The 24,408-nt window shown below is 38.4% G+C and overlaps 1 protein-coding gene and 1 long non-coding RNA gene across 6 annotated transcripts in view, besides 2 other annotated features; one reads left to right on the top strand and one right to left on the bottom strand.

Moving 5' to 3' along the window:
* The window catches only part of PLCL2 (phospholipase C like 2), a 205,652-nt gene that overhangs the window by 34,037 nt on the left and 147,207 nt on the right, over positions 1-24,408 (bottom strand). For all 5 annotated transcript variants that reach the window (NM_001144382.2, XM_047447799.1, XM_017006025.2 and 2 more), the window contains one exon: positions 13,621-13,696. In NM_001144382.2, coding sequence (NP_001137854.1) covers positions 13,621-13,696 — 76 coding nt within the window. The remainder of the gene's footprint in view (positions 1-13,620; positions 13,697-24,408) is intronic.
* Positions 1,961-2,150: an enhancer, noted in NCBI's record as "active region_19562". NCBI's record gives its function as "activates an Ori minimal core promoter by ATAC-STARR-seq in GM12878 lymphoblastoid cells {active_cell/tissue: GM12878}" and the evidence as "EXISTENCE:reporter gene assay evidence [ECO:0000049][PMID:35858748]".
* Positions 1,986-13,818, top strand: PLCL2-AS1 (PLCL2 antisense RNA 1). The gene is made up of 3 exons (NR_046640.1): positions 1,986-2,044; positions 12,382-12,516; positions 13,657-13,818. It is a non-coding gene; the product is annotated as a PLCL2 antisense RNA 1 (long non-coding RNA).
* Positions 16,358-17,557: an enhancer, noted in NCBI's record as "P300/CBP strongly-dependent group 1 enhancer chr3:17080505-17081704 (GRCh37/hg19 assembly coordinates)". NCBI's record gives its function as "activates an origin of replication core promoter dependent on BRD2, BRD4, P300/CBP, MED14 and CDK7 cofactors, with strong dependence on P300/CBP, by STARR-seq in HCT116 cells {active_cell/tissue: HCT116}" and the evidence as "EXISTENCE:reporter gene assay evidence [ECO:0000049][PMID:35650434]".

Genomic DNA, 24,408 nt, shown 5'->3' with positions numbered 1-24,408 from the left:
TTGCTTTATATTCCTTATTATTATAAGAAAGTTTATCTCCAAATACTGTTAAAACATTCTTAGAATGCATTTGTTCACTTTTATTCAATTATTTGTATATTCCCTTTTACAATCCCTTATATATTTATAATATACTATAGGATTTGTAGACCATAGAATTTGAGAGCTGGAAAAGCCTTAGAGATAATCTGGGCCAAATCACTTTATATTAAACCTAAGGATACCTAATATACACACATACATGTGTGTATATATATAACCTTCTGGTATTTGTATGAGAAAGGTGATTCATTTTGTCTGTGGACTTTACTTGAATTGTAGTTCTTCTCAGCTTTAATAAGAAATTATAATGGGAATTCTCATAACCAAATGGTTTATTTATGCAAGTGCCAGAGTTAAAAACAGCCTGAGAGTTACTCGTGACCCCTCTTCAGCAGAACATCTGCTGAGATGACCCTGAGAGTTGCTATTTAAATACAAGGGGATGCTTTCAGAGACTCCATGGGTTTACGAAGGAAGGAGGGAGGAAGATGTGACAAGAGAGCACAGTGTTGGGATTTAATCACAGAACAGGTACCCCGGGAAGGGCAAGTGTCCCCAAAACTTCCCTCCCCTTCATTTGTGGCACTGGGGAAATGTCACTGGTGAAAGCTATGTTCTATGCTGCTCTAGAAAGATAATTTTGCTGTCATTCAATCACACAGCTGGTGCATGCCTGAGTCTGAGCAGTCACTCACACTCTCCCTGTGAGAGACAGAGGAGAGAGGCTTAGGGAAAGAGCATGAACTCAGAAGAGGGCCTGCTCTGCTCTACCCTCAAAAGAGAAGTTCTCAAAACCTGAATGTGCTCACCACAATGCAAATTCCTGAGTCTCACTCCCAGATGGTCAATATTTTGGGAATGATGTAAAGAGACTGCATTTTCAACAAGCATTCCCAGGGGATTCTGATCACACGTATGAAAAATAACATTCGTGTGAAAGTTGATGTGGGAATCCTTCTTTTCTTTGCATGACTCTGTGAATATATGATGTGGGAATCTTAGAGCAGAATTAGGGTGAAGGTTACAGGGACGGTTGAGGTGTGGTGAGACAGCGGTTTCTAGAGACCAGTTGCTTATTTTGAAGTTTTTGCTCTGAATGAGTTGGCCTAGTTGTTGTCTTTGTGGTCATTTCCTCTGCCATCCCTTATCAGTGATGAAGGTCCTTAGTGAGGGAATTAAAATGAGAAAGAGGCCACTGAGGACCTTGCTACTTCTCTTCTTCCCTTGACTTCACTAATTATTAGTTAATTAATTAGTAAATGCCTAAAAGAAGATGTGGTGGTTCAATATCCAGTCTTTAAGAGAAAAGATGCTGTGGATTTCAAATGGGGCCTGGGAGTCTGATGCAGGTTTCCTGTGTCTCATCTTCAAAGTGTTAACTTTCCTCCTTGAAAGTAATGATGATGGGCTACAATTTATGTGTCCTGTAACATTGTATGGGATGACTTGTTTAATCTTTTAATCTTTTTCAGTAACTGTAATCCAGCCATTCCCAAATTGCTGTTTATGTAACTGATCTTAGTTCACTGTAATTTAGAAGGCATAGGGCCATCAGGGAATCACATAATCCACTGCCACTTAGAAGAAGGAAAATGAGGCAGAGAGGGTCAAGTGACTAAACTAAAGTCACACAGCAGGGACATGGTACAGAGGGCACCAGAACATGGGTCTCTCAATTCCCAGGAAAGAACCTTTCACTTCTGTAAAACAGAGCTGAGAAACATTCTGACATAAATGAGAACTGATACGATTTGGATCTGTGTCTCCATCCAAATCTCATGTTGAAATATAATCCCCAGTGCTGGAGGTGGGTCCTGGTGGGAGGTAATTGGATCATGGGGGTAGCATTCTCATAAATGGTTTAGCACCATCCCCCCTTGGTAGTATATAGTAAGTTCTCAAGAGATCTGGTTGTTTAAAAATGTATGGCACCTCCCCACTCTCTTTCTCCTGCTTGGGCCATGTGAAGATGACTGCTCCTGCTTTGCCTTCCACCATGACTGTAAGTTTCCTGAAGCCTCATAAAACAGAAACTGATACTGAGAAGCAGGGCATTGCTTGAAGATGTGAAAGCAGCTTTGGAACTGGTAATGGGCAAAAGTTGGAACAGTTTGGAGAGCTCAGAAAAAGACAGGAAGATGAGGGAAAGTTTGGAACTTCCTAGAGACTTGTTAAATTGTTGTGACCAAAATACTGATAGTGACATGGACAATGAAGTCCAGGCTCAGGAGGTCTCAGATGGAAATGAGGAACTTATTGGGAACTGGAGTAGAGGTCACTTTTGCTATGCTTTAGCAAAGAGCCTGGCTGCACTGTATCCCTGCTCTAGGGATCTGTGGAACCTTGAACTTGAGAGTGATGATTTAGGATATCTGGCAGAAGAAATTCCTAAGCAGCAAAGTGTTCAAGATGTAGCCTGGCTGCTTCTAACAACCTATGCTCATATGCACAGGAAGAGAAATGACCTGAAACTGGAATTTATATTTAACAGGGAAACAGAGCATAAAAGTTGGAAAAATTTGCAGCCTGGCCATGTGGTAGAAAAGAAAAGCCCATTTTCAGAGGAGGAATTCAAGCAGGCTGCAGAAATTTTATAACTAAAAGGCAAATACTAATAGTCAGGACAATGGGGAAAAGGCCTGAAAAGTATTTCAGAGACCTTCCTGACAGCCCCTCCTATCACAGACCTGAGGCCTAGGCAGGAAGAATGGTTTCATGGACCAGGTCCAGGGCCCAGCTGCTCTGTACAGCCCCTGGACACTGCTCCCTGTAGTCCCTTTCTTTTGGCTGATTTCTCCCTTTCGAAACGGGATTATTTACTCAATCCCTATATCCCCATTGTAACTTGGAAGTAAGTAACTTGTTCTGATTTTACAGGCTTATAGGTGGAAGGGACTTGCCTTGTTCAGATCAAACTTTGGACTTTTGAGTTAATGCTGGAATGAGTTAAGACTTTGGGGGATTATTGGGAAGGGATGATTGTATTTTGAAATGTGAGAAGGACATGAGATCTGGGAGGGGCCAGGGCAGAATAAATGGTTTGAATCTGTGTCTCCACCCAAATCTAATGTTGAAACATAACCCCCAGTGCTAGAGGTGGGGCCTGGTGGGAGGTGACTGAATCATGGGGCAGAGTTCTCATGAATGGTTCAACACCATCCCCCCTTTTGAGTTCTCATGAGATCTGGTTGTTTAAAAGAGCGCATCACCTCCTCCAACCCTCCTGCTCCAGCCATGTAAGATGGGCCTGCTTCTCCTTCACCTTCTGCCATGATTGTAAGTTTCCTGAGACCTACACAGAAGCTGAGAAGATGCCAGCATCATGCTTCCTGTACAGCCTGTGGAACCATGAGCCAATTAAGCATGAGCCCATTTCTTTCTAAATTACCCAGTCTCAGTTATTTCTTTATAGCAGTACGAGAACAGACTAATACAAAACAAAAAGTTATAAGGCTCTCAGGTTTCCATTTGCAAATATAATTGACCCTTCAACAACAGGGGTGTTAGGGGCATTGACTCTGCATGCAGTCAAAAATCTGCATGTAACTTTTGACTCCCCAAAAAGTTTACTAATAATAGCCTACTTTGGACCTGATGGATGCTTTACTGGTAACATAAACAGTTGATTAACACATATTTTGTATATGATATGTATTATGTACTATATTCTTACAATAAGGTAAGATAAAGAAAAGAAAACATTAAGAAAATCACGAGGAAGAGAAAATGTATTTACTATTTATCACGTGGAAGTGGATCATCACAAAGGTCTTCATCCTCATCATCTTCTAGCAGAGTAGGCTAAGGAGAAGGAAGGAGAGAAGGGGTTGGTCTTGCTGTCTCAGAGGTGGCAGAGGCAGAAGAGGTGGAGGAGGCAGAAGGAAAGGCAGGGGAGGCAGGCACACTCAGTGTAACTTTACAGCAATGCATTGCAATTTCTGTCTTTTTTGCTTTTTCACTTCTCTAAAAATGCTTCCATACAGTACCAGTACTTCTTCCACTTTTTGCTTTAGTTTCAGTGCCAGTATCATCAGGAGGATCTTTGTCATAAAAGAAGTCATAAGCAGTCTTGAATAATAGGAACCCTTCTTCCAGATTGTCTGATATCAATTTGTTTGGGGGCACTGCTTCTTCTACATATTCTTCATTGTCTGGCACTGGTTTGGAAGCACTCATCTCCGTCAAGTTATCTTCTGTTAATTCCTCTGGTGTGGTGTCCATGAGCTCTTGATTTTCTCCAAAATCCATAACCTGAGACCTTCACCCCCCCCCAATTTTTTTTTTTTTTTTTGCCATATTCACAATCTATTTCATGATTTCTTTCAGCAGCTCTGTTATAAATCGTGTGAACATCTGGACGGTTTTCTCCAGCAGGAATTTATTGTTTTGGACTCGATGACTTTCATGGATTTTTCTGTAGCAACAATGGTATCTTCAACAGGATTTTGAATCCTTCTAAACATGTATGATGTCCTCTCTATTGGGGGTTCTCTTCCACAGCATTAATAATCCTTTCCATATAGCATCCTCTGTAATGAGCCTTAAAGGTACTTATGACCCTTTAATCTACATGCTGACTTGGAGACATTGTGCTTGGGGGAAAAGAGACCATTTCATGGCTTTCAGTGTTGAACTCATGGGGTTCTGGGTGACCAAGGGCATTGTCCAATATCAAAAGAAAATTAAAAGGCATTCCCTTACTGGCAAGGTACTTCCTGACTTCAGGAACAAAGCATCATGAAACTAATATAGAAGAAGCTCTTGTTGTTCAGGCCTCCATGTTGTACAACCAAAAGACTGGCAGCTGGTGTTTATCTTTCCCCTTTAAGGCTTGGGCATTAGCAGCTTTATAGATGGGGGCAGTCCTGACCATAAACCTGACTGCATCTGCACAAAACAGTAGAGTTAGCCTATCCTTTCCTGCCCTAAATCCTGCTGTTTGCTTCTCTTCCTTACTAACAATTCTCCACTGTGACTTTTTTTTCCCCCCAGAACAGGGTACTTTCAGCTTCATTAAACACCTGTTCAGGCAGATATCCTTTCTCCTCAATGGTTTTTTTAAATTTTATTTTTATTTTAAATTTTTATAGGTGCATAGCAGGTATATATACTTATGGGGTACGTGACATGTTTTGATACAGGCATGTAATGCATAATAATGGAAAATGGAATATCTATCCACTTAATAAGCATTTATCATTTGTGTTACAAACAATCCTATAATACTCTTCATTGTTTTAAAATGTACAATAAAATTATTAATGACTACAGCACCCCTGTTGCGCTATCAAATACTAGGTCTTACTCGTTCTTCCTAACTTTTATTTTTTGGTACGCATTAACCATCCCCACCTCCCCCGCCCTGACCTCCCATTGCCTTTCCCAGCCTCGGGTAACCATCTTTCCATTCTCTATCTCCATTAAGTTCAATTGTTTTGATTTTTAGATTCCAAAAATAATTGGGAACATGTGATGTTTGTCTTTCTGTGCTTGGCTTATTCCACTTAACATAATGACTTCCAGTTCCATCCATGTTGCAAATGATAGGATCTCATTCTTTTCCATGGCTGAATAGCACTCCATTGTGTATAAGTATCACACACAATATCCATTCAACTGTTGGTAGATGCTTAGGTTGCTTCCACATCTTGGCTAGTGTGAACAATGCTGCAAAAAACATGGGAGTGCAGGTATCTCTTTGATATACTGATTTCCTTTCTTTTGGGTATACATGCAGCAGTGGGATTGCTCGATCATATGGTAGCTCTATTTTTAGTTTTTTTGAGGAACCTTCAAACTGCTCTCCATAATGGTTGTACTAATTTACATTCCCACCAACAATGTATGAGGGTTCCCTTTTCTCCACAGCCTCGCCAGAATTTGTTATTGACTGACTTTTGGATAAAAGCCATTTTAACTGCAGTGAGATGATATCTCATTTAGTTTTGATTTGCATTTGTCTGAGGATCAATGATATTGAGCACCTTTTCATATGCCTGTTTTTCATTTGTATGTCTTCTTTTGAGAAATTCCTATTAAACATTTTGCCCATTTTAAAATTGGATTATTAGACTTTTTTTCCTACAGAGTTGTTTGAGCTCCTTATATACTCGGGTTATTAATTCCTTGTCCCATTCAGTGTGTTATTTCTCCATTTTGTTGTTTGTTTCCTTTACTGTGTGGAAGCCTTTTAACTTGATGTGATCCCATTTGTTCATTTTTGCTTTGGTTGCCTGTGCTTGTAGGGTATTACTCAAGAAATCGTTGCCTAATCCAATGCCTGGAAAGTTTCCCCAATGTTTTCTTGCAGTAGTTTCACAGTTTGATGTCACAGATTTAAATTTTGATTTGATTTCTGTATAAGGAGAGAGATAGGGGTCCAGTTTCATTCTTCTGCATATGGATATCCCGTTTTCCCTGCACGATTTACTGAAGACACTGTGTTTTCCCCACTGTATAATCTTGACACCCTTGTCAAAATGAGTTCATTGTAGGTGTGTGGATTTCTTTCTGGGTTCTCTATTCTGTTCCATTGGTCTATGTGTCTGCTTTTATACCATTATCATGCGATTTTGATTACTATAATTCTGCAGTATTATTTGAAGGCAGGTAATATGATTCCTCCAGTATTGTTCTTTTTGCTCCAGATAGCTTTGAATATTCTGGGTCTTTAGGGGTTCCATATAAATGTTAGGATTTTTTTTTTCAATTTCCATGAAGAATGTCACTGGAATTTTGATAGCGATTGTATTGAATCTGTATATTGCTTTGGGTAGTATGGACATTTTAACAATATTGATTCTTCCAATCCATGAACATGAAATATCTTTCCATTTTTTTATGTGTGCCCTCTTTAATTTCTTTCATTAGTGTTTTATAGTTTTCATTAATAGAGATGTTTCACTTCTTTAAGTTAATTCCTAGGTATTTAATTTTATTTGGGGCTATTTTAAGTGGGATTACTTTTTAAATTTCCTTTTCAAATTGTTCACTGTTGGCATATAGAAATGCTACTGATTTTTGCATGCTGATTTTGTATCCTACAGCTTTACTGCATTTGTTTATCAGTTCTAACAGATTTTTGGTGGAGTCTTTAGGCTTTTCCAAACATAAGATCATATTATCTGCAAACAAGGATAATTTGACTCAATGATTTTCTTAATGGCATCTGGGAACTTGTCTGCTGCCTGCTGGTTGACAGAAGCTGCTTCGCCTATTACCTTGACATTTTTTAAGCCAAACCTCTTTCTAAAATTATCAAACCATCCTTTGCTGGCATTAAATTCTCTAGCTTTGGATCCTTTACTTTAAATTGTCATATAATGACTTCACTTTTTTTTAAATCATATTAGTCTATAGGTGTGCCTTTTGTATAGCAATCCTGTACCCACCTAAAAGCTGTATTTTCAATGTGAGATAAAAAAAAACTTTGCACAAGAAGTGCAAGGTTTTCGTACCTGCTGGTATGGCTGCAAAAATAGCTTCATGAATTTTCTTTTCTTTTTTTTTAGAACAGTCCTTATGCTGGATTTCTTTATCCTGAAATAGCAGTCAACTGCAGACCTCAATCTATGGTATATACTAAGCAATTCAACTCTTTCTTGTAATGTCATGACTCTTCTCTGCTTCTTGGGAGCACTTACAGTATCACCAGTGGCACTTCATATAGGTCCCATGGTGTTACTTAAGGTTTATGGTATTGCACTAAACATGATGAATAATATGCCGTAACTGTGAGAGATCACTTTTTACTGTGAATGCAACTTACTGGAATGATAAACTGCTCAGTCAGAGATGATTAGCATCACACAGCGTTTTAAGCAGATACTCCCAACACTTGAGCTCAGCACAACAGCAACAGGAGGTGGCTATGAAATTATTACAGTAGCAAAGTATGTTTTGGAGTTAATTTTAGCAGTTATGAGTTAATAGTGCATCTTACATTGTTTACATTTTTCTTAACTGTGAAAGACGTCATGTATGGGCTTTAAGTGTGTGCATAAGTTTTGATAAATTTTAACCTTTTATAACAGATTTGTGCATATTTTATGGCAGTAAATGATAAAATAGACTAGTACCTACATATATTTTATGCATTTGTGGCCTTTTTCTTAAATTTTTTGATATTTCCATGCTACATGGTTCATCTGTCTTTTTTCAAATTGTTGCCAACCTCCAAAAAATGTTTCAGTATATTTATTGAAAAAACTCACATATATGTGGACCCATGCTGTTCAAACTTGTGTTGTCCAAGGGTCAACTGTATTTTCAAACAGAACACTTGTTAAGTGCTTTCAGAATGAATCTCGCAGATGATTTTCTTTACTATGTTGGGCAAGATGATGTGCATGAACCAAGTGACAGGTGGTGATGGCTTACTTATCTGATAACCTCAGCTCCTAGGAGCACACTGAGATCTGAGGAGTTTGAAAAAAAAAAAAAAGTCTCTGAGCAATTAAATCCAGGTCATGTAGGTCTGGCCTGACATTCTGCTGGTTTTCCCCATGCAGGAGTGTGTCGGGGCCTCATCCTCTTTTATGTAAGATAAATCGCTTGGTCACAGGGGAGACATCAACTGCTCAGCAGACTGGAAGCAGCAAATGTAAGAGAAAAAAAGAGCAGTATACAAACAGACAGTTGGAAATACAGTACAAAGCAGTAGGAAGTGAGAGTTTAATGAAAGGAGATGGAATTTAACTATTAACACCATGTCCAGATCTGAACAGTCACAGCAGGCAGGCTGCTGTGTGTGCAGGTTAAGGGGCCTCCAAACTTAAAGCCTCCAAGAAATCACTGCATTAAACTGCAGCATCTCAAGATGACCCTGGGTCTTTAAAACAAATGTTCAAATTATTTTTGGCAAATCAAATTTAAGAAAGCAGGGATGGATAAGATCCACTGAAAATTTCCCATTAAATTGATTAAAATGAAGGGTAATTAAAGCTTTTATTATTTGGAAAGTTATTTTCTTTGATCCCACTTTACTCAGTGAAGATGCAACCCTGGCCATGCATGAAAATACGCTGGAGCTTTTAGCAAAGAACCTTCCATTTAAAGAGGTGTGGAGAGGGCTGGGTCATCTTTCATTTAGTTTGATCCTCCCTCCTAACAGTCATTCTGAAAGTGCACAGAACAGATTCTCCTGCTCTCATCCTCCCAGGCATGCAGGCATCACCTCTGCCTGAGGCATGCCCATGAAAGCAGGGAAGCCAGCAGGTGTCCTATGCGGGCTCTTTGCGCCTCTGCAACCTAACACTCTCCCAGGCCTTGTGGGTGTGGGATCACATCTTTGGGAACATCCTCAGTTCCTGTGGCAGCTTTTGCCCCTTGATTCCTTCCTTCTTTTTTCTTCGAATTTAGTTTTTATTTTTGCTAGAATTATGCATGTACGTAAAGAACCAAATAATTGTCCACAATTCTCCCTCCCCAGAAGCAGTCACATTCAATGCCTTTAGCTGATTGTTTCCCTTCCTTAGTATTTATGTTCATATTTCCAAGTAACATGCTTATATTGTTTACTTAGAACTGTTTTTCAAGCATCACCTATTAAATTCCCCATATGGAGAATGAGAATTTTGCTATTTTTAACCTCCCCACTGTCAGGACACAGAGATCTAAGCGTTAATTAATCCAGCTTCTACACAGTTCCTGTCTTTTATAACTAGCTTTAACCCAGTTCCCAGAGGTACCTGGTCACCAGGTTAGATCTGAGCTGGTGGTTGGCCTGTGAGTCAGGCTGTGTCAGGCCCCCCAAGACCAGCTTCAGATTGAGGTTCCTGAGTGGGCAGCTAAGCCAATTATCACTTGTTCAGCTGTTACTCAGTTTCTAGAATTTTGTTGCTCCCGATTTCTTTGTCCTTATGGATTTGTGGCTTAAAGAAAAACCCTCTACTGTCATTTTAATGAGGTTTTAGAGTAGAGATTAAAAGCATTTGTTAATTCACCATCTTTAACAGGATGTCATTGATTTGTTTTTTTCCTCCTCCAGAGAACAATTTATTTTCCATTTAAAATTACCTGATAGAAACACCTAGCTCACTGAGGGAAAGCATTTGGGTTTCCTTCTTGATCGTCTTCCTATCCTTTATTAAGCATACCAATTCAGTGACTAGAAAGGAAATTATAATCCAAAAATGGGCTGCAGTTTTGGCATTTAAAGAGACAAAAACATAGATATTAGAAAGCGGAAAAGACTTTGGCCCTGATATTAGAAAGTGGAAAAGACTTTGGCCCTGAAAGAATTTGACAAATCTTTTCCCAACTTTTATACATTTCTAACAAATGAACTTTTATGATGTTTCTCCCTCTGCAGACTCCTGTTCAGCTCTCCTGCTGGTGTTCCTTACCAATCTCCTACTTGAGAACATGTATGCATGTGTTCGCCTGGGCTTATGAATTATAGAGACCCATTCTTGCATGGCCACATCACTTCTCACTCCCATGGCGGCCCAGACTCACGCATCCCATATCACCCCTGCAGGATCTGATATTTAATCAGTCCCTTTGACTGGCACTGCTGATCTCTGACTCTGAGCAAAGTCCCCATACTCTTGCCCCTGTCTTGAATCCCCGCTTTCACTTCCTCACCCCCAAAGTTGGTGTTCTCCTATGACACTACTTCCCTGTTTACCTCGTCAATGGAAAACACTCCTCTCTTTTTCAGAATTTTTCTAAATGTCACGGCTTTCTGTATTATCTCAGACGAGGAGCCTTTCTCCCTTTCTGAGGTCAAGTGTTTCATGACTGTACTTCATTCCTGACCTCACATCCTTCATCCTGAATCTCTGTCTCATCTATTAATGTCTTCCTCTTCACTGGGTCGTTTATATACTCCTAGCAACATGGTTTTATTATTAAAATTTCTCTTTTACCCCAACTCTCTGTGTCACTGCATTCTCTTCTTAACAGAGAGGACTATGCAGGCAGGCTGCCTCCAACTGCGCATCTCCGAGTTGTTTCCACTGCTCTTTCCATGGTCCCTTTGGGTCCTCCACTGCTGGGATGCATAGGTTCCTAGCCTACCTTGGTTGGAGGTCTTCACTTCTCAGCATTCCTCTCCTGCCACGCTTCCTCTTCCCAGTACTAACATCAGCATAGCATGTTCCTATGTAAAAAATAGATTACACAGCCAAGAGCCTGAACCCTTCTGAACTGGGGACATTTTTTAACATGTGTTTGGGGGTGGATGTCTGACTCTTTATTTCCACTCAGTTATTTAAACAAGGTTTTAACTAATAAAAATATATGTTTGTGCTTTAAAATTCGAAATACATCTAAAATAATCCTCTCTTGCAGCACTTTGGTGACCTATATCTGTTGGCAAGCAGAATAACAATTACTTATCAAAAGTAAGATCTTATGCAACTGTCTTTGAGCCCAAAACAAATTAGCAATTCTTCATATGACTAATGACTATATGTCCTTACCATAATTGTAAACATGAGAAACAAAAGATCAAGGGACTCTAAAATAAGTACTTGGGATAACAGAAGGGCTGTGTAGGCGTTCATCAGTAACTGTGAAACCAAAAGATAATCTTTACACGCTTCTAAAGATCTTTAAACCCAGAGCAACTTGAACCATTACACAGTGGTTATTCTCCCCCCATCCTAATCAAAATCCCTAATAGATAAGATTCTTCAGCTTTTTAAGTACAAGCACATGTATCCCTTACTGAAATCAAACATAAACAGAAAGCCACATTATACTGAAAATTATCAAATCTCATAAACCAGTGAATTGACAATAACTCAAATTGTTGAATAGTTTTTTTTCTGATAAACAGTTTTTTTCAAATTCCACAAAGTCCACAATTTTCATAGCAATACATGCATTGAATGGAATCAAATAATTAAAATAAAATCATATTTAGTTAATATTTGGGCAACTACTCTGTGCAGAATGTTAGAACAGATGTCATGGGTAAGATACAGAGAGCAGCTTGATATATAATCTTAGTGCTTTAGGAGGTTATTATCCTGTTTACAAGATGGAATGCATTAATAAAATACACAATAACTGAAGAAGCCCTACCAACTGAAGCAAATTAAAGGTTTAAAGGGCTGAATAGAATGCTTTAGGTAACATAAATCCTGGAATCTTGAAAGGTCTCCCAGAAGACTGTTGAGATAATTGAAAAAGAAGAAAGTACAGATTGGCAGAGAGGGCAGAGAAAGAAGTCTCAGCAGATGAGTGATGTGTGCAAATCTGATTAAGTAGAAACACAGGGAATGGGGACAGGCAGCCCAAAGCAGAGGGTAGATGGCTCACCATCCCTTCCCTTCCTCCCTCACTCTCCAGAAGCACCTTCCTTATCTATTGCCAACTGCCTCCCATCAGGTCTGCCCATGGACATTCTCTGCACACAGCTATTATGGTCAGTACCTGAAAGCTCAGTCCCTCTCCTGTTCTACACAAACACCAATGTCTCCCCAGTGCCTCACACACCAACTTGAGACTCCTGAGTAACACACGGTAAGTATTCAATATATTTACTGTGTTTACTTCCATATCTCCTGTTCAATAATTTGCAGATTGTGTTAATAATTTGTAGATTGTGTTGTAGATAAAAATTGTGTTTGAATAATTAAATGTAGATTGTAGGGAGAGTTAGCCTGCAAAGGACTAGAAGTAGAAAGACCACTTTGCTAACAATATTTGCTGACAAGATGAGTAAAACAAGATGGGGATTGTGGAGTTTGTTGATTAGTCACTAATATGAATACTCTTTCAATAGATATTAGAAAAAAAATGTCACACATATCCTTATCTTCAATCTATTTTAAACAAGTTCATTTCTGAGATAAGGGATTTTTTTTTTCAGGGTAGGCAATATAGTTTCTTGGTTTTAAAGAACAGCAACGAAAAAAACCTTAGAAAGTCAGGACAATTTTTTTTTTTTATGACTTGAAAATATTCTCCATAATAGAATCTCCCAAATCAACACTCAAAAAATCAGAAAATTAAAAGAACTCCATTTTGTGTATTTTTATTACAATGCAGAATACTGAATTTTTTGGTTTTACCACAGCTAAAATTAATGGGATGATTGTTTATATAAGAAGAATTTTATAGTCTGGTATAACATTTGGATGTTAAATTAATGAATTTATCAGCACGCGAAAATGCCAGTGTACTAAAAAGTGTCAGGAGGTTGTAACTGGAATCCATCTCCTTTACAAGAAGCCATTCTCCCTCTACTCAAGCCTTACCTATCCTACTGTGTACCAGAGTCACGGGTGACCAGCAGGAGCTTTGGCAACACAGTTAACACTGAAGAAGAGATTAGTGCAGAGTTTCTCAATTTTGGCTGTACATTAGAAACACCTGGGAATTTAAAATAGTTATTAATTCCCAGCCCCATACCTCAGACCAATGTTAATGTATTTTGAATGGTCCCCTCAGGTGAGTTTGTTACCCAAGGCTGAGAACCACTGAATTGGTATTTTCTTTAGCCATAGAAAAATAATTTTCTTATTTGATTTTCTTGATATAGCATCCAAAAAATGAAATAGTTTTGGGGCAAAGTATATGATGCTATTAATTTCATTTAAAGAGAGGAAACAAACTTTCACTTACCTGCCTTCTGACAATGTACGATCTTTTCATATACAGCATCTGCATTTTCAATCAACGCCTTGAGGGACTGAATCATCTGCAAAGGGAACATCCAGACATGAGATTACACCTGACAACTAGATCCCCTCCTGCATTCATGCACAAGGCTCTTCTCCTAAAACAGGCTGATGTGATGATATTAAACGCTTTTTTATCTGACTTTCCACTACTCAACTTCAAATGTGCATGTGAAAATGATAACATCACACATCCCCACATAATGGTTAAAACAAGATGTGAATAGTATTACTTTCCAAGTGCAGTGAGGCTAGTACAACACTGCACTTGAACCCTGAGCTAATATACTGAACTGAGTTCATTTCAGCGTGAAAAGCTACAAATATGCGTGCAAATCTGATCTGAGTTTTAAAATTTGGTTATCCATTTTAACAAAATTTTCAACTTCATCTTATAGAAAACTTCAACACCTACACACTTCACTCATTTCAGCCAAAATGTCTTCATCTGAAATTCAGTTTAAAACATACAATGAGAATTAAAAAATAGCATTTATTTATTTGATACCATTCATCACTAATAGTACCTCTAAAACTAGTATTTTTATGTTCCTATTAATGGTTTTTAAAATGTTCAAATTTGAATTCTTGTTCCAAATTGCATGTGCTTGTTTTAAGAGCCCAAGCTTGAAGAAGGGAAAGAATCAGTGAACAGCTGATCCATTATTTTACTCACCAAAAAGCTAGGAAAAGATCCCTCTGAAGTAATCTTGTTGGCTCTAAAATCACTATGAAAAGGAAATGGGATAGCCAGAAACAAGTCTCATGGCTCAAATGGGTACAATTATGATATCTACCTTAGTATAAATTTTACATATTTGTATTTAAATATCCAAATATTTTGCATTATAATATTACTCATCTATTTTACATGACCATCATATTTTAAGTAATAAACACCCAACCATTCCTTTCATTTCTGCCTCATTTTTTTTCTTTTTATTTTTTTAAGAGACACGGTCTGTTCTGTCAGCCAGGCTGGAGTGCAGTGGTGCAATCATAGCTCAGTGCACTCTCCAACTCCTAGGCACAAGTAATCCTCCAGCCTCCATCTCCCAGGTAGCTGGGACTACAGGTGTGTGCCACCATGCTTGGCTAATTTTTAAAATTTTCTGTAGAGATGGGATCTTGCTATGTTGCCCAGGCTGGTCTTACACTCCTAGGCTCAAGTGATCTTCCCACCTCGGCCTCCCAAGTGCTGGCATTACAGGCATAAGCCACCGCACCTGGCCTGCCTTATTTTTCTTTATAGCATTTATCACTAATTGCCATAGTAATTATCTTATAGTAACTAAATATATGCAGGTTGGATTATTTGCATAATTCAAAAACCACCATATTTTTGGTAAGTTACACTTATTTAAAATATAACCAACATGTCTCTTAAAAAGTGTACTAGCTTCTTAAGCTTAGTCAGATAGTATTTATCAACTTGCACAGTTCTAAAAAAATGGTAAACATCAAAAGTTTAAAGGCCAAGGCAGGCATTTATTTACGCCTTCATAATGTATCTTTAATCATCGCTGGGGTCTACTGCAGGCAGCCCCTGTGTGGAAACCAGGGATACCTGACCTACAGGATACAACCCCTGTCCTCAAGAAGTCCACAGCCTATGGCAGAGTTTGCACTTTGGAATTCAGTATTTTCACATTCATTCTTCAAGATCTGAGTCATTCCCATAAATTAAAATATTCTATTTTACAGCTTGACGTATTGAACAGGCAGCAATAAAAATGAATCGTTAAGAACTTTATTATACTGATATAAAGTCGTTTGTACCATTACATAATTTGCATATTGAAAAGGTCCATACCGTCATCAGTAACCTTTTTCAGCTTTGATGTCAAGCCAAATGAGAGATACAAAGAAGCAAGGACTTCTTCAAGCAAGGATGGTGATTGTTACAGCTCAGTATCAAAGAACTGGCCAACTGTGCCCCCATCATTCAAATAGGAGAAGGAAAAAAAAATATGATCAAGGAAATGAACCCAGTCATTAAACAAATGAGGACAGGAGCAAAAGCAGGAGTGGAGGAGAACAAAACAGCAGCATTAAGCAGAGGCTCACACATGCAGATGAGAAACTCATCTTGGGAGTGGTGTAGCGGCAGAAACAGCAAAGATTTACATGGGTTCTAATCCTGGTTCTATTACTCATTAGCTTTGTCATCTAGGACAAGATATTTAACCTCATAACCCTAATTTCCTACCCATAAAATAAGCTTATTAAAGACATTACACCTCATAATGTGAGGATTAAATGAAAGGATGTGTGAGGAGCGACTGGCACAATGAAGACACTTGCAAGCGGCAGCTGTCACGGCTGACTCCCCATTTATCCAGGAGGCCTGGCAGAGCATTTTCTGGTAGCCCCAAATTAGCTGAATGCCCTCCTTTCATATGTTCACTGGCAATGTTTCCAATACTCATTACTAATTTTAGTTCCACTTGAAAAGCTGGGTGTGATGAAGCTCAGAGAAACAAGTTGCATTATTATTCTTAGAATCATCTTCCAGTTTAAGTATCACCAAAGGATAAATAATTATGCACCTTCCAGCTATAAAATATACGTTAAGGCTGAATAAATGCACATCCATCTCAAGAGTCCAGATATAGAAGCTCATCTGCCTCCTAAACTCTGTAACACTTGGAGGATCATTTGTTTATTCTTGGGACAATCGTTTACTGAGGCCCTCTATGTGTGAGACCCTGAGCTAAGGGCTGAGAATGAAGCACATGTACCCTAGAACTTAAAGTATATATATAAAAAAAAGAACAATTGCTGCACTGGGACTATGGTACAGAAATAAAACAGATGCACAAAGAATAACTAAAAAGGTGGGATTGCTATTGTAACCTGTGAGCTATTGGATGTGATAAAATTCAATATTCTGAAGCTACAGCCCTTTGGCAGGATATTTAATGGTGAAGCACTTGTAGTGTAATGGTATCCATGTTGACAGCCACAGAAGGATCCACTTGTGGCTTAGATTTCAATACAGGAAGTTCCTCTGCTGATAATGACAGTGAATATCGTCCCCCGATTCATGAGTAGTATATAAAATATGAAGATGACTAATACTTCAGGGTGGAGAACACAATAGTGAGAAGCCATTCCTCCTAGGTTTGCAAGTAAACAGCAGGAGGCATTTGCAGACTGTATTAGAGGGGAATTCCAGAAGGAACCAGCCTAGGAGAAGGTAGGCCCATAGTAAACAATGAGCAAAGCTTAGACAAGGCAGGCAGAAAACTTATCCAGACCTCAGCAGAGATGATTCATGTTGTCACACCTGTTATAAAATATTTGTACTACTTGCTTCAGAAGGAAGTATCTTTTTATCATTTTGGGGTACATATTTATAATTAAATTAATGTATGGTTAACAGTTCATAGTTCTTGTTCTTAACAGGCATATATTAATCTTCAACTTTTGCACTATTGCATAAATTCTCCTTGAGTCTAAGAGCTCCTCTAGGTACTCTTAAGGAAGCTCTCAGGACTGTGGGCTCCTATAGCAACACCAGGTGAAGAGTCCAGCAGGCTTAGAGGACAGGTTAGGCGATGGGCCTTCAGGCCCCTACTCAGCAGGCTGATGTTTCCCTTTCATTCTGCCATCAATTATGATTGAATGTAGTGCACATGGCACTGAGGATGCAGCAGAGGCAACATGGGGCCACCAGCTGATCTAGCAGGGGCCACTTTCTGTCTGGATCTGCTACTTTATAACAAGCTGTGATTATAAATAGTACAAGTGTTGGTTGAATGCATCAAGATGAAAGTGATTCAACATCTCTGCATCAGTATGTACTTGGTGCTTTCTATTTTATTTACTGATCACATTATCCATGTGAGGTGAGTAATTATGAGGTTAGTTTTACACATGTGAACACTGAAGACCTACCTGAAACATAAGCAACCTTTCAAGGTAATCTGGTATTATAGGCAAAATAACTGTAATTAGTAAGTCATGAAACTGGTATTCTGTTTGGTCTTGAAGCCTCTGCTTTTCCCACAAAACCATTATAGGTCTTGACACATGAGTGGCAACTGCACAAGTGAAGAGGAAAGGCCGTTTCAATCCGAAGAAAGCACAAAAGCAGAGGAAATTTTGTAACTCCTAAAAGGTGCTACACACAATTACAATAGTAATATCATCTCAGCTACTAACATTGACCCAAAGTTGTTTTTTAGAACAATGTTTCTATAAAGCACTTTGAGAAAACATTTTAAAATGACAGCAATAAATTACTTGGCTCTATTTTACAATTCATTATTATAAATAATAAATAATTTATATTTAATGTGAAACTACTAGAATAAGCATCTCAGATTAGACAAAAACAGATGTGCAGGTAGTAATATCGATGCATGAGCCAAAGGAAAAAACTACTTTATCTTGTTTTCTCTGTGTATATTACACTGATACGTCACTAGAATGCAAGGCCAAGTAGAATGGTTAATTATATAAGCATTATTTGCATTAATGCAAATGCATGAATTTCATCAAGCCCCTATAAACACACAGGTGTAAGTCTTGGCACAGCAATCAGACACCCTGCTGCCAGCCTGAGTAACTCGCCACATGGATGCTTATATTGTTTTTTCTAGGGCAAGATGATTTTATATAGTTGTTGCTAATGGATTTTATATCACTGGCCTGTTACCAGTACCTCCTACATTTCTGGAACTAAAGTGTTTGGAAAATCTATGGATGTAACATAGCCTAGAAATCTATTTCATAAATTTGATCACCTCTAATATAAGATTTTAATGTAGAATTTGAGCAGATGAAAAGCAGGAAATTTTAACTAAAGGCAAAGTAAAAATTAAAATTTATATTTTATTAAGCTGGAAAGAAACCAGATATGCCTTTTATCGGAGTGCTATGTTTTGAAAGTAACTCCCATGTTAGTGTAAAGTAAACTTCTCTGTTTATAGATACAGCTATGAGAAGGGTTATTATTACATAAATATATTATATATTACTAGATTTCTATAGACTGCTCCTTCATATTCTGTTTTGAAACTTGCTTATCAACTAGGAAAATTCCATTTTCAGAATAAGCAAGTCTGTGGTTTTATATAAGGACCCTATGTCTGATTTCAGACAATTCACTGAATTGCCCTTCATCTTAAGAACACAGATTTTGCTAATAATTATAAAAGTAGTTTGTCAATAATTTTATATACTTGGGTGAAAGAAATTTTAGTAATAACATCTGAATTCTAGATTTTTTTCCCCTTTATCTTGTTTTGAATCTCAGTTTCAGATAGAAAATCCCAACCTCTAAACTGCTTTCTTTGCCTGTCCTGCTCAACACAGATGTGGCTACTGCATCTTCTGTTGTAGCTGTTTCTAATGAAGTTACAAAGTCTGAGAAGTCCTTAAGTTGCTATAAAAGAAAAAGGCTAGACAGTAAAAAAACTTTGTTCTTTCACATGGATTCTATGATTACTTGACACATAACAGGGAAGTATCTTTCCAAACTCAAAAAATGAAAAGATTATCATTCTCAAACATGCCAATGGACTTACAAAAATGGTGCAGTATACACCTGGCCCTAACCACTGAATGCCCCCCAAACTGCCATGACCACCTTGGAGATCCATGATAGGCCTCAGTGGACCAGTAAACGCCCAGGTGGCAAGATGTGGCTTCAGGCACCACCAGGCTCAGGATGACCTTGGGAGGACTGGACCAAAGCAGGACTTGCTTCTCTGGACTCCAGGGATGAATACAGAACAGTAAATGTGATCATGGATAAGGTTTTCAGAAAATAGGAACTAATTCAATCCAAAGTAATTTTTTCCCATCTAGTCAGAATTTTCTGAATGGCAGCCTCTGTTATGGTTTAAATGTGTCCCCTTCAAAATTCAAGTATTGTCAATGTGATCATATTAACAGGCAGGGCCTTTAAAAGGTGATGAAGCCATGATGGCTCCTTCCTAGTCAATGGGATTAAGGTCCTTATAAAAGAGGTTTCACACAGCATTCAGCTAGCATGCCCTTCTGTCTCCCACCACGTGAGGAGCCACTCAGAAGACCTTCACCAGATACTGAGCCTTGATTTTGGACTTCTCAGCCTCCAGAACTGTGAGAAAATAAATTTCAGTTTTTATAAATTGCACAGGCTGTGATATTCTGTTTCAACAACACAAAATGGACTAAAACAGCCTCTTAAAGCTCAACGTCCCTGGTGGGTGGTCAGCCTTGTGCTGTTTGGCCCTGCAAAGCCAGTTAGTTCACTAATGCCATGAATGGGACAGAAAGTAAGATCAAGATGCCCTTGGGAATTTGTAAGCTTTGGTGCTTTTTTCTGCACTCTTGAGAGAAACACCTCTCTGAGTTAACAATATAATCTCTCTTTTTAACACTTTAAAATAATTATTACTGTGCGGGTGAAGAATTTTAGTTTGATTCTAAAACATCGGGATTTGAGACTTCTCAACTGAAATCCAGAGGTAAGTTTTTCCTTTACTAAAGCTTCCAAGTACAGAAAAATGTTACAAAGTTGAACTAATGGAAGAGGCACCATTTATAAAGTTATTGTTGGAAAATACAACGTACTTTTAAATACTTGAACATAATATAAGTCACAAATTTACACTGAAATACTGAAAGATTATTGCTGTAGAGGTCTTTGGCCAGCTGTGCGCTACAATTAAACCCAGCTCCCCTTTCCATCTCACATGGGGAGAGCATTGTGGCTGCAGTCCACTGTGGGGAGGACAGAGAGCTGGTGCCTATCCAGGGGCCGAGGTCTGCCATATCATTAAGAGCTGTGGTCGTCCTCCCTTCCAGCAAGGTCACTATGAAAACACTTTCTAAATAACAAACCGTTTCCAGAGTAACTTGTCCTAGGTTTCTTATGAAACTTCATTTCCACTACCACATCTTCCACTACGCAAATTATAGGGGGGAAAAAACCCTATATAAAAGAAAGTTGTAGAAAGAACTTGACATGCGCTTGATAAAAAGCACTACTCAACTGTTAACAAACATACAGAGGAGCATATTTGGGTGCTGCCACACACAGGACCCCGCTGCAGGCATGATGTGGAAGGCCAGGACTTGAAATCATGTAAAATATTGTTAAGCTTTCTAGGCACCTCAACTCGTATTAGAGAATGTAAGGAAACATGGATAGAAGAGGAGTGAGGGCCAGATTGGATAAGATATAAACTTCTACACTGCAGAGTTTGAATTTAATCACAAACCCTTGACAATTTTAAGCAGAGGTGTTATGAACAAAGTAAAATTTCAGAACCATGAACAAGCATCAGTGTGAAGGAAGAAATGGGAGATGGCACAAAAGTGGGAACAGGAAGCAGGTGGGGGCCACTGCTATATGAGAGACATGAGAGGCAGCAGAGGGGCTGGGAAAGAAAGGATGACATGAACACATTACATGGAGGAGGACTCCAAGGCTGATTTGCTGTGGGCACAGAAGGAAGAGCCAAGATAAGAGAGAAAACTGGTCAGGATAAGAAAAATTGTAACACACCTTACAATTATAGAGTGCTTTACGGTTTACAACTAAACATGTTACACACCCCACAGTTACAGAGTGCTTTACAGTTTACAAGTAAACATGTTACACACCCCACAGTTATAGAGTGCTTTACGGTTCCTTTAAGTATGTTAACGTATTTAGGATGTGAACTTCCAGCTTAGTTGAATTGAACTGGTGGTTACAATAGGGAAGTCTAAGAACCTCGAGTACAACCGGAAATTATGTGACAGCTTGCTTCTGGCACTGGATAATTGAAAATTTTCTCCACAGAGGTAGTGGCTGAGATGAAAGAATGTCTACATTTCTGAGGGAGAAATTTTAAAGATGAATGAATGTTGCATGATGCTCCAGAATCACTGGAATAAGCAGAGAGAATAATAACTAGTATGACAGGTGCAAGAGTGGTCCGAGGGCAGGAAAAGAACAAGGATGCTAAACATTTACAGGCGTGTACAGAGAGAGGTGCTGGGAGAGTGAGTCCACAGTATTGGAAGCTGCGGATCTGGTCATTTGGTGATCTTGAGTAACTGTGGAGAATATACAGTAAGTCTTCTCTTAACATGGACAGCTTCTTGGAAACTGCGACTTTCAGTGAACAAGGTACAATGAAACCAATTTTACCCTAGGCTAACTGATATAAACAAGGGTTAAGTTTCCACAGCGTATTTCTGGTCACAAAAACGTCATCAAACTTCTCAATAAAGATCAAAACACTTCTAATTTTAAATGCTGAAATAAATGTGAACTATACATACATTTAAGAAAGATTAATGAAAACAAGTAAGATCATTATTTACTCAATTTGTGGTGAATTCGTGACAGTAGTCATAGTGGTGGTGTATTAAATCAACAAATGTTTGCAAAATGAAAATTTTCAGAGGAACCTCCTACTACCACACAGCTCAAAAACAGTTAACAAATATTGCCGTGCATTTGGATGAATGTCAAATACCTGATAATTTTTTTTATTTCCCAATAACTTATATTCATTCATTCATTTATTTATTCATTTTCCAACCCACTTATTCCAATCCACTTATCAAAGGTGGCCAGAGCCTATCCCAGCAGGTCAGGGTAAAAGGGGGAACCCACCCTGGACAGGATGCCATCCCATCGCAGGGCACACTCACACACACATCCACACTCACTCACACTGAAACCCTGAAGATTGTCCAACTCATCTGAAGCTCACATCTTTGCTATGTGGGAGGAAACTGGTGTACCTGGTGTACCTGGAGGAAACCTACACAGATGTGGGGAGAACCTGCAAACTCCATACAAGTGGCCCCAGCTGGGAATCAATTATTTTTTCCTCTTCAGTGTTATAATGAAATGATGCTGAACAAAATGACATTATTCAAGGATCGGCTGTAACTGCAGTATGACAGTTCTGCAATCCTAAAACTCACCTCACTATACAAAATTGTGCAATAAAAACCACAGGGCTTATAAGGAAAGTGGGTTAGGGGCACAACACTAAAAAATTTTGCAGTGACACATAAAAAAAGACATCAAATAAAAACAATATCACAGTTCTGCATATGTTAAATGGTTAAAGAATGAAAAAATACTACAATAAACATGGCACTTAACCTTGAAAAAGACCTGAAGGTTGCTGGTGGAAGTGGGTGTTGGAGGAGTTGCAGCTTGTGAGTCACTGTGAAGTGGTGGAAGGAGGGTGATCTGAAATCTAACGGAAAATTGTAACACAAGATGTAGAGGGTGTAGCTCATAACACATTTTGTGAATTGAAGAATATGGTGGATGTTTGAGGGGTGTGTGTGTAATTTCAGTTCACACAAACTTGTGCACACGCAAATGCAAAATTTTTGGTATGCTCAAATTGTTACCTAACATATAAACTGCATTCAAGCAAGTTTGAATTTTCAAAACAAGTATTTGTAGTAGAACTTACTATAGAAGGGAGAATACTTCAAAATATTTCCAAAAAATTTGTTTACAAAATTCTTCTATGGAATTTTATTTGAAGTCTAAGTTAAATTCTCAGTTTCTGCCACGTTCAAAGCATGGTTTTGGCGTCATATAAGTCTGCCTGAACACTGTATTCAACTATTTTAATGATCATTTCTTGCCAGAGAACAGATGCCAAATGCTATATAAATCTGGAATGAATTATGAATTAAGAGTGACCCAGGGTCCACATGTAGGAAGCTAGCTATTCTCAACTTTTTCCAATATACTCTAACTTTTCATAAAGCTCACTTCAGAGCTAGGGTAGTACCTAAGGGATCAATGTGTCTTTCCTGTTACATAACTTTTATCTAAACCCTGATACGGTCTGAACCTCTTATGTACTACATTTCAGATAAAATCCTATAAAATAACATCCCATCTTATCTGTAGGTAGCTAGTTGAATTTTCAAATTATAAAAAGCCTCCTCTAACACAATCAATGTCTCTATCACTTCTCAGCCTAAATTAATATATAATCATATTCACACACTTAGAAGCGGGCCATATTTCACAGGTTAAACTTTAAGTGCAGTTTCTGAATGTAATCACCATACAAACATAAGATACAGGCATATGCTTATCATATACAAGTGTAATATGGGTGTCTCCTGCATTCACTCAATAACCATTTGGATACAGCATAACATTCATGAAATAAATAGTATCATGTAGTCAAAAGAACCAGTTTATTGCCTTTGGTTCCTACTTTCCACAGGTGCTGTGTGTCCAATGCGCACTGCATGGACCTACTGTTTACAGTTGTGGGTATTTCTGAGAGGCACTTCCCACATTAGCCACTAGAAGTCCTTAGTAATACACATTTGTTAGGCTGGGAGGAGAGGAAAAAGGAGCAAAGATAAGGAAAAACAGCACAAAGAGGATAGTGGGCAAAAAATAAAAAAGCACATCTACAGGATTAAAAGAAAAAAAATCGACAAAATCACAGAGGCAGAGCTTAGGGGAATCAAAACAATGAATGCACTAGGGTGGTTTATGTCACCAAAAACTGTGCTTTTAAACCAGGTAAGAAATTTTTATTTTTATGCAGACAAGTGAGTGAGCCATAAAGTCACAACCAAACTTAGATTTAAAAGGCATTCACTACTATTTCTAGATTGAGATTTAGCATTTCCAGAAGTCTCCATGTGGTCCCCAATACATTTAAATAGACCAGAGGCAATAGTTTGAAAAGGTCGCTGGAGGGGTTCCAGTTGTACCAAAAGATTGGTTATGAAGTCAATGAAT

This window comes from Homo sapiens, chromosome 3 (genome assembly GCF_000001405.40).
Source record: "Homo sapiens chromosome 3, GRCh38.p14 Primary Assembly".
NCBI classification, from domain to species: Eukaryota; Metazoa; Chordata; class Mammalia; order Primates; family Hominidae; genus Homo; species Homo sapiens.
Note: the sequence above shows the minus strand (reverse complement) of the source record. Positions and strands in the feature narration are given on the sequence as shown.